This window comes from Homo sapiens, chromosome 13 (genome assembly GCF_000001405.40).
Source record: "Homo sapiens chromosome 13, GRCh38.p14 Primary Assembly".
Lineage (NCBI taxonomy): Eukaryota > Metazoa > Chordata > Mammalia > Primates > Hominidae > Homo > Homo sapiens.
This window is the reverse complement of record NC_000013.11, coordinates 32,943,917-32,954,917: the sequence shown is the minus strand read 5'-3', so window position 1 is coordinate 32,954,917 and position 11,001 is coordinate 32,943,917. Positions and strand designations below refer to the sequence as shown.

At 43.7% G+C, this 11,001-nt stretch overlaps 1 pseudogene; it reads left to right on the top strand.

Annotated features, from left to right (window-relative positions):
- TOMM22P3 (TOMM22 pseudogene 3) lies at positions 454-1,061 on the top strand (annotated as a pseudogene).
- The last annotated feature ends 9,940 nt before the right edge of the window (positions 1,062-11,001 follow it).

Sequence of the window (11,001 nt, the reverse complement as noted above, 5' to 3'; positions counted from 1 at the left end):
CCTTTAGGTGATTGGTTTTTTATTTGTTTGTTTTGGGTTCTTTTGTTGTTTGCTTGAAAACTCAAATTTGGAAGTACCGTTCCAATGCAAAATTTTCTAGCACCAAATTTGCTTATTATTTATTTATTTATTTAATTTTGAGACGGAGTTTTGCCCTTGTCGCCCATGCTGGAGTGCAGTGGCGTGATCTCGGCTCACTGCAACCTCCGCCTCCCGGGTTCAAGAGATTCTCCCGCCTCAGCCTCCCAAGTAGCTGTGATTACAGGTGCCCGCCATCACGCCTGGGTAATTTTTGTATTTTTAGTAGAGACGGGGTTTCGCCATGTTGGGGAGGCTGGTCTCAAACTCCTGACCTCAGGTGATCCGCCCGCCTCGGCCTCGCAAAGTGCTGGGATTACAGGCGTGAGCCACCGTGCTCGGCCAATTTGCTAATATTTTAAAGTCTAGCTCGTCACAGCCATGGCTCCCACGCCAGCGCTGAGGAACCCCTGTCGGTGGATAAATTGCTGCCAAAAGACTGAGGAGGAACTGGATGAGGGCGACCACAAGGAGCCAGATGAGACCCTGTCGGAGAGGCTGTGGGGCCTGAAGGAGATGTTCCGGAGAGGGGCCAGTCCGAGGGCAGAGCCACTTTCCATCTCTCCCCTCTTCGTGGCTCAAAAAATGTACTGGTTTTCCAGGGCAGCCTTGTGGATTGGAACCTCTTTCTTCATGATTCTGGTTCTTGTTGTCATCTTTGAGACAGAGAAGTTGCAAATGGGGCAACCGCAGCAGCAGCAGCAGCGGCAGATACGTCTCCGGCGCCACACGGCTGTCCAGAAGAATGCCAGGGGCCCTCCTTCACTTCCTGGAAAGATCTAGATGGTGACTGCTATATTTGAGCTGTCTCGGTGGGAGAATTTTAAATTCAATAGTGTTTGAATTCCTGATTATTTTGATTTTTTTTTTAACTTTGGTACATGGATTTATCTAAACCTGGTGGAGAGAATTCTCCTCACATTGTCTCACAAAGAGAGCTTAACTCGCAACTGTACTCTCCACGCTCTCCTGACTTACTTCTGTCGTCACTCTGATGCCAGAGTGCAGCCATGCAGTGGTTATTCCAGCCCTGGCCACCACCTCCCTCACCCCCCAACTCCTATCAATCAATTGCTCCTAACTGGAAGATTTCCTCACTATCTGATTGTGAGGTAGCAACTGATGCTAGTGGAAGGGTGGTACCCCTGACCATTAACAACTGCTTTAAAAAGAGAGAGAGAAAAGAGCGTGTATACACTATGAAACACACAAAATGCATTACAATCGTAACATAAAGCAGCCACTATGAGTCCTTATGTATGTTGGACAGGAGGGAGGCCGGCTGCAGCTTTAGCCACAAGATGAGGGCTGTGAAGGACAGAAATGCGAGCTCATTTCCTCTGCACATTTTGTCTATTAGAACTGTGTGTGTAAATAATAATAATAATAAAGCCAGTGCTCACTTTTTGTATTTAAATATTAAAAATGAATTCCAACTGAAAGTGAAAATAAATAAATAAAGTAAGCTTGTAAAGCAGTGTTCAGATTTTCACAGCACTAGAACGTTCTGCACGTAAAGGGAATAGTCTTTATAGGAGACAGGACGGAGGGTTGAGGCACTGCCTGGATAGAGCATATTCCAGAGCACGTGGCATGAACTGAGCCCAGGCCACGGTGGGAGCTTCAGCTAGGTGCTTGCTTCCATTCATTCTCCACTTGAGGCCAGAGAAACCAGACTTTGGGGACTCAGGGGGAAAGGGTGGGAAGGGAGTGAGGGATGAAAGACTACAAACTGGGTGCAGTGTGTACTGCTCGGGTAATGATGGGTGCACCCAAATCTCACAAATCACCACTAAAGAACTTACTCATGTAACCAAACACCACCTGTTCCCCAATAACCTATGGAAATAACAAATTTTTGAGAAAGAAAAAAAACCATAAATCTGCCTACACCCCTGTTCTGGGCCAAGCTGTGTCCCCCTCCCCACCCCACCCCACCAAAAAAGAAAAAATGTGTATGTTGTAGTCTAGTACCTCCGAGTATGAGTGCATTTGAAAATAAGGCCTTGAAAGAGGTGGTTAAGTTTAAATAAGGGCATTAGGGTGGGCCTTAATCCAATCTGATAGGTGTCTTATAAAAAGAGAAAGAGACACTCAGGGGTTGCATGCACAGAGGAACTACATCGAGAGAGCACCAGGCAGAGAGAAGACAGCCAAGGAGAGAGGCCTCAGGAGAGCCCACACTGCCAACACCTTGATCTTGGACTTCCAGGCTCCTGACTTTTAAGCCACCCAGTATTTTATTATGGCAGCCAGAGCAAACTAGTACAGTCTCTCTCTCTCTTTCTTTCTGTCTCTCTTTCTCTCTTTCTCTCTCTCTCTCTTTCTCTTCCTCATATACCTCCTATGCACACTGCCACTCTTCCTTAGAAACTTCCAGGTCTCCCATTTCCCTTAAGACAGAGGCCCAACACAGACACCTGCCAGGCCACCATCTCTGTCCCCTAGCCACGCCTGTCTTCCTGTGACAGATCCCTCAATCCTGAACACTGTGAATTACTCCTTCCTCCACTCCCCTCACCTAGTCAGCTTCCACCACCCTTGAGTACCAGCACAAACGCCACTCCTTCAGGAACACCGTTCTGGACACCTTCACTGCAGCACACCTTTCTACTGTAAGCTCTCATCAGCCCCACACATTTCCTTCATGGTACACACAGAGCTTTGGGGTTTTTTAAACTTTTATGTGCATTTATTTATTTCATTCATGTCTGTCTCCCCATTTCAATGTGGTCTCTAAGAGGGCATGGACTTGTCTGTTTTGTTCCCTGGGAATAGAGTTCTCAGGGCCTCTCATAGGGGCTGGCAAAGAGCGGGCACTCAACCAATAATTGTTGAATCAATGAATGACTGTGACTTACACCCACTGCTGGGCATGGGGAAATGGATGGGTCAGAAGGTACAAAGAAAGGGGAAACTAATGCAACTCTATGTGAAGGAGGGAGCTCAGTCAGTGGCATGAAAGCCAACGCTAGAAACATCTGTTTGCAAAATGATCCTCAATTACCAGAACTAGCAAATATTGACTCTGCTTCCTCTCCTGGTATAGACACTAAGCACTCCACCCTGAGCTGGGTGATGGGAGCCCCTGCATTACCCACTCAAGGCACAGCCTGTGACATTGACTATGAAACTGTTTCCTATTACCTCTTTCCTGTCTAAAGTCAAGGTTGTCCAGCACTCTCCACCCTTTGGCATCCTTTGACCACTTACTTGCCTTCCAGCCATTTGTTCTCAGAGCCCTCCCCTTTCTCCTTAGGAAGCAAGTTTTCTCTTCACCTTGTCATTATTCTCAAACCTGGCAGAACATCACAATCATATGGAGGCATTTTTCATAACAACATTCCTGGGCCCAGTCTCCAAAGATTCTGAAGTTCACCCAGCAAAGAAAATATAGTCTGTTGCCATCTGCTCCAAAGTGATGAGCCATACTCTCTTGGACTAGCTTAGTGTACAGTGAATTTATTTGAGTGGTTAAGCTAGCTTAATTGTTTCCCAAATATTAGCCTAGGGATATCAAATTTGATAAACACAGTGCAAGATCCTAATTGTATGATAATAACAAACATTAGTATTGTGGCTTACAGTTGACAGCATGCCTTCTCAGCCTTCTTCTTATATGATTCTCCCCATCTGTGAAGGCAAGGAAAGGCACAACCATGATCCCTCCTTATGGGCAAGAAAACCTTGATGAATTACTTGCCCAGGCTACACATTAGAAATGGCAGTAAGGCCAAGGTCAAACTTCTAAGTCCATGGAGCAGAAATGTGTCACAAAGGCACACCCACAGCCTTTGTCTCTGCCATTAAACCCACTACCTAATTCTTTCTGAATACCAAGTTAAAGCTATTGATGCTAAATCAACGTGGACTAATTGACATACTTTTAGTAATTCTTTCTTGAATGTCTACCGTATGCCGGGCACTCTTCTAGAAACTGGAGACGTAGAGTAAACCAACAGATCAAGCCTCTACCCCCAAAGTGTGTGCCGCTTTCTGACAGCCAGGGCCCCTTTCTGGATGCCCAAGTAGTCATGGCGGTCATGAAATGGATGCTATAAACATCTCTCTCAAAAAGGATTTCTTGAAATAGGTTGTCCTGAGGCTAATACACAAAAAATATTTCACTTAAGCCAAATAACCAGAAACAAGTCTAAAGCATAGTTTTACAACTCTTTTGTAACTCTATAGGAAAATAACTATAAGACCAAAAGACTCAGGAGGATTTATTTTGTTAAATTTCTAGACCACTTGCTACCAGGGTACCTTGTCAGCCCCTTCACCTCTCCCAGCCTCAATCTCCTTAGGTACCTAAAGTTAGAATTACAATAGCGTCCACCCCATCATGTTACTGGAAAGAACAAAAGACTTAATCTCCAAAGCACCCAGGACAATGTCTGGCACACAGTAAGCCAGTCTCTGAAACCCTTATTATTTCCATGCCAGCCATGTGCAGAAGGCATTTCTCTTCACCTATTAATGGTGGATTTCATTTTATCTTCTACTCATCATGTACTCTGAGGTTGCCTTTCTGCCTTTCCTGAGACTCACAATCACTTCCAATTTAATATCCACCATGAATGTAATTAAAGTTCTGTTAGCATCTACCTCTTCTAGACCATTAATGAGGCTGTTAGATAAAATGCAATAAAGATCCCTGGAGCAGCCCAGCAGACATTGCTATTAATCATTGTTTACCTCTCTTCAGTTCATGCTCATACTTTATGGCCATTCCTATCCATTTCTTCACTTTGAAAATAAAAGTAATAACAGTTACTTCAAAGAATTTTGGCAAGGATTCCAAGAGGTTCTGTACCGTGGTGTCAAGCATCACTTCAAACCTCACTGCTGCTGGGGAAAAAGAATAGGTTACATCAGCAGGGAGTTTTCCAGAGAACAGAGTGGTCTCCAATGCTGAGATTCAGTGAGTCTGCCAATTTTTGCTACCTTTGATGGTTTCAGTTTAAACAACACTCTAATCACGAATAATATCTTAAAAAGCAGAAGTACCTGTGGGATCCTCTAACCCAATTTCTGACTCTAATCAGTAAGCCTCTAAAGCCTTGTTACTCAAAATATGATTTCTGGATCAGAAGTCTGTTAGGAAGACAGAATCTTGAGCTTCACCTCACCTAAGGATCTGCTTTTTGGCATGATGATTTATATGTTCATTAAAGTTTAAGAATCATTGCCCTACTTAATACCTTTTACAGGTGATCTGAGACTCAATAGCTTAACAAAGCCATGATGTGTGTGAGTGAGTGTGTGTGTGTGTGTGTGTGTGTGTAGGGGATGATACCCAGGCATTAGAACATACAAATATAATAATATCCTAAAACTTCTTTCCAAAAGCAATAAACCTTAGAAAGAGCTATTCTAAAAATAAAAAGATAGCTCACATGCTGGTAAGTTATCACCTTATTCACTTTGACCTTGAACCAATCCTCTTGATTCGTTCCCCCAACCCCCGCCCTTTTCTGTTCTCTGGGCAACTTGATTTTCCGTTTGTTTTCTAGTTCCTAATTGGAAAATCAGGCACTGCCATGCCAGGAAAGATTAATATTTATCTCATTTTCAATCCGGTCTCTGAATAGGTGGATGTTTACGTGGCAGCCAGGACCTATATGAAGTGGTGGGGTGCCTGGAGACCTATGCATATAGGGGCTTGTAAAACTATGAGTCTAAAGTTCAACCAAAACCAGGGGCAGAGTACGGTCTAGGTTCACTTTTGTTTCCACTTTTTGCACTGCCCTCTGAAAGTTAAAGACTGGCCTGAAGACCCAAAAGATGCCACTGCTTTTTAGTGGCTTTACTGGAAGGATATTCAGGGGAGCATGGAATCCTCTCCTCAATTTCTTTAAGCCTTTTTACAGGCTCATTCCCTGCAAGATGACAACCATAGACTTCCCCTATTCTGAATCCCTCTAAATTCCATTTTGTCTTGAATTTTTAAAAAATCCAATAATTCAAAATCATTACCAGTTTCCCAACTAGCACAGACCATGAGCACAGACCATGTCACATATACCTTTGGAAAGACACCAAAGGACACCTAGAGCCATCAAGGAACTGCGTGTCTTAGAGACTTGGGCTTCCTGAGACATTTTCCTCAAATGTGAAATGGAACTAGCAATAGGGTTACCGTGAGAATTTAAAAAGAAAAAAAATGAATACACAGAAAGTGCTCAATCGGCTCAATAAACACCATTGATTGCTGGACTGCAGAAATCAGATGAAGCCGTATTACCACGTGCCCATCTCTCCTCCCATGGGGAAGCAAGAAGGCGGTAGAATGGCCACCATCATCATGAAATATAGGTCCTGGTTTCCTAGGCATTTGTCAGTTGATTTCTCTTTGTGTCTCTAACGATTTGTATGTCTGTAAGGAACCCTGAAAATGATCATAGAGAGCTGGCTTAATGAAAAGTGGGAAATGCCTAATGTAACAAAAATGACACATTTTCATATTCCTCTTCCCTGAAATGGATGAAATTTCCCTCCAAGGTTTAGGTTCCTTCCTGTATGAGAAGAGCATTTGAACATTACAAGGAGGGAGGGATAGGGGGAGACTAGATACCCGATGCAGACAGTGAAGTGAATGAAATCAAGATAATTAGATGCTGCTGAAATACCTACATGTCTTCTAAAAACCAGGAGAAAACACCGATCAGATGTGGCTGACAGATTGCATCTTGTTGCCTAGCACTAGTCTGAAGTGACTGGGAGTTGCTAGGCAACCCATCCTCCTGGGCTTGGTGATCCAACAAACACTAGACAGATGCTTTTCCTCTGCTATCCTGCTGCCCCTCACAATTTTCTCATCTGTAAGATTCACACCTGATTAATGTTTTCCCTGGACTTTTTTTTCCATTTGGATTGGGTGCTGCGACGTGCAGGTTTGCCTGTGCTCAAGTGAGCCAGGCTGCCTACTTAAAGAATGCCTTGCGGCAAAAAACAAATGGTCCTCTAAAGATTAAACTACATTGAGATTGCAGCCTGAACTGTTGAGTGTAGGGCAGGAATCTGAACCATTTCTTGTAGAAATTATCAAATTACCATCTGCGTCAAAGGCGGATTGGTCTGGTACTGATTGGAGTGCTCTGGACCAAATATCAAAGTCACTCAAGTTTATTCTTATCACCCTAAATAATTTGAGCGAGAGGGAAAGTGCTTTTCCCTAGCAGGGAGCTTTCTCTAACTGCTCACAGGTTTACTACACTTTCCAGCAAATCTGCTCAGCTCCTATGAAAGAGCCAAGTGTAAATATGAATGACTGATAATAGCTTACTCTTACCCTAGCCTACCCTTTCCAGCAGTATTTACATTATTAGGATGCAAGGTAGAATTTCAGGAAGGAGGTAGAGAAAAGAAAATGTTTCTTCCTCCTTTCTTTCCTCATTTCCTCTCTGTTTAACATAAATTGTAACAAAAAAAGTGGCAATCTACTAATAATATTTAACGTTTAGCTGGGCTCATCTCATACTAGTTCCTACTCTCCTGGAACTTCTGATGACAAAAGATGTTAACATATTCAAGCTAATATTGTTGATCATACACTATTAAAAAGAGTGACCTTCTCTAGTTTAGCTAGGTCTGTGGTTTATTGGAGCTTTCTGGGTTAATGGGACGGTGATTTTCATTCTGAGTGCGGCATGGCTATTTCTCCCCTTCCATTTATTTGGTGTTTATAACCTTTCAAAGTGTTTTCACATCCATTATCCTACTGTTCTATAAACCTCTATGCTATGATGCATGGAAGTTAATTACAATGCTTTAGAAGGAAACTGCAGAGCATAGTGGGAATGAATTTTACTCCACAAACTCAGGTGTAAAAGACATAGTACTCTATTTAGAGTAGCTTAATTCTGAATTGAGGCCTCATCCCGGTGGTTTGGAAGAAAATTCAGTATCACTCATGATAGCCCTAGATGCATGAGGCTTAAGAAATAACTGTGAAACGGAGAAAGGGTCCTTTACCTCCAGTCCATAGCAGCTGCTACTGTATTCTCTGATCTCAGCTCATGTGATCCCTTGAAGCTTGTGCTTTTTCATGCAACAGGTGAGGCACAGAATCTGCATCGTGGAGCCCATACTCCTTGAGCACCCACGAGCCATTTCCTCTGAGGATCGTGCCACTCCTCCATCCTCTCATGTGTCCCCTCCTGTCCTGGAGGTGTCATCTATCCTTTCTGTCCCCACTATGCCCTGCCTCCATCAATCTTGAGTTATGTCTTCAGTGGCTTAGATTTTTTTTAAAATGCAGGAGCAATTATTTTCAACTGGTTCTTCTTTTTAGCCCTGCAAAAATCCCTGAGATAAGGAGAAATAACAAAAGTACAACTATCTGTTTGAAACTGTGGGGTGGTGGAGAGGGAAACAGAACATAAACATACATTGAAAGTCTAACACATATATTCAGCCTTATAAAGGAAGCAAATCTGACACATGCTACAACATGGATGAACCTTGAGGATACTATGCTAAGTGAAATAAGCCATCCATGAAAACATAAATACTGTATGATTCCCCTGATATGAGGTATCTAGAGTAGTCAAATTCATAGAAGCAGAAAGTAGGATGGTGGTTGCCAAAGGCTGGGGGAAGAGGGAATGGAGAATTGTTGTTTAACGGGTACACAGTTTCAGTTTTGTGAGTCAAGCTCTTGAGTAGGGAAGAGAAGCTGTCCTCTGAGAACTAGGACAAGGACTCTCTTTTCATTCTATTCCTGTTATGCTTTTGCCCTTACCACTAAAACAACATCAGTAAGTAAGATGTAGGCCTTACTAAACCAGTAAGGCCTACATCTTGCTAAAGACATCATTCAATTCACTGTCCATTCTTGCTTGCTCTCTCAGTGGCATTCAGCAAGGTCAACCACTGTCTCTTTCTTGAATGCCGCCTTCTCTAGGCTGCACATTCATCTGCTTCTCTCCCACCTCCCACATATCATTCTCCATCTCCTGCGTTATCACACCCTCCTACACCAAACCTCTAAATGTCCCACTGACCCCAGCTTTCTGGTCTTGGTCTTCATCTCAATCCATATTCTTCCCTCAGGTGATCATACACTCTGTTGACTCTTAAATGTGTGTTTCTAGCCCTGAACTCTTCCATCAGATCCAGACTTTACACCCAAGTGCCTACTTAACATATTGTCTTAGGAGGTCCAATGAGCATCTCAAAAGAATATGACTAAAACATATTCATTTTCTCCCCTACATCTGCCATCTATCCCCACCCCAAGCCTTATCTATCTTGAGAAATGGCTCCACTCTCTAGCTGATCAGTCCAAAAACCTAGGCATCATCCTTGATTCCTCTCTTTTCCTCGTGCTCAATATCCAATCCATTATTAGGCTCATAGCTCTATTTGTAAAGTAGATCCCAAATCTGATGGGATCCCATTTCTCCCCATCTCCAAGGGCATGATCCTAACCCAATCTTCATTATCTTGCAACTGGATTTCTGCAACAGCCCCTGGCTCCACATGCCCCTAGTCTATCTTCCCATAGAAGCCACATGATCTTTATAAATAAGACCATGTCATTTCTCTGCTTAACATGATAATTACAGTTATCATAACATTCACACTGTCTTACCCCAACCTAGACCTAGAGGGCCTGCATGACCAGCCTGCTGCCTCCTCTGTAATTCACCTGCCTCCAGGTCCCACCCACACACTAAGCTCCAGCCACCTGTCCTGCTTTCAGTCCTCGAACCTGCCAGCCTCACTCTCCTCCAGGGTCTTAGCATTGGATACTCCCTCTGCCTGGAACCCTCTTCCTGTCCCCTCACATAGCTGTCTCTTCTCACCATTCAACACTCTGCTTGCTCAGAGAATCTTCCTGGATTCCAGCTAAATCATCCTCCCTAGTCAGTCAACTTCACATGGCCCTGTTTTACCCATAGCACCTTTCAGCATCTGAAATGAACTTATTTATCTACTAATAGACTATCATATTCCTGTATAGAATGGAGACTTAATGAGAGTGGGATTGTTTTGTTGTTGAACTTGTTCCCTCCATATCCCCTGGAACTATGCCTGGTCTGGTTGACTTCCCCCTTAAGCCAGTGGCCCCCAAACCTGGCTTCTCATCAGAATCACCAGAGATGCTATTAAAAAGAGAGATCCCATGTGACTTTTATCTCAATAGGGCTGTTAAAAAATATATATAGCACTCTGGGTCCTACCCCAGGATGAAAGGTGATGGGGCCTAGAAATCTCTGTTATTTTTGTTGTTGTTGTTGTTTTTGAGATGGAGTCACACTCTGTCTCCCAGGCTGGAGTGCAATGGCATGATCTCTGCTCACTGCAACGTCTGCCTCCCGGGTTCAAGCAATTCTCCTGCCTCAGCCTCCTGAGTAGCTGGGTCTACAGATGCCCGCCACCAAGCCCAGCTAATTTTTGTATTTCTAGTAGAGACAGAGTTTCACTGTGTTGGTCAGGCTGGTCTCAAACTCCTGACCTCCTGCCTTGGCCTCCCAAAGTCTCTGGTTTTAACACTCTCCCATATGGTCAGCCAGACACCATGGGTGTGTGACAGCCATCACATTAGGCCACAACCCATTGAAGAGGGTCTTGAGATCTTGGAAGGACTTTTGAAAGATAAAGGAATCTGTATGAAGTTGCACTGTGCCCAGGACATGGGTGAAGAGGGGAGCCCAAGTTAAGAATAAGAGAGCTAGGTGAAGGCAATGAAGGAAACCACTGTTCAACAAGAAGCCATGGGCTAAAAACAAGAACAGCAACCAGAAACTCATTTCATTTAGGCTAAACTAAATTCCTATTTCAAAGGGAAAGATAGTTGTTTTCTCAATACTTGGGATCCTCTACCTGGTTCAAGGTCTGGGATCCAGAGCCAGGTCTTTGCTCAAGAAGGCCCAGCAGCTCACAGATCATGGACTCTGGGCTGCTCTCAGGAGA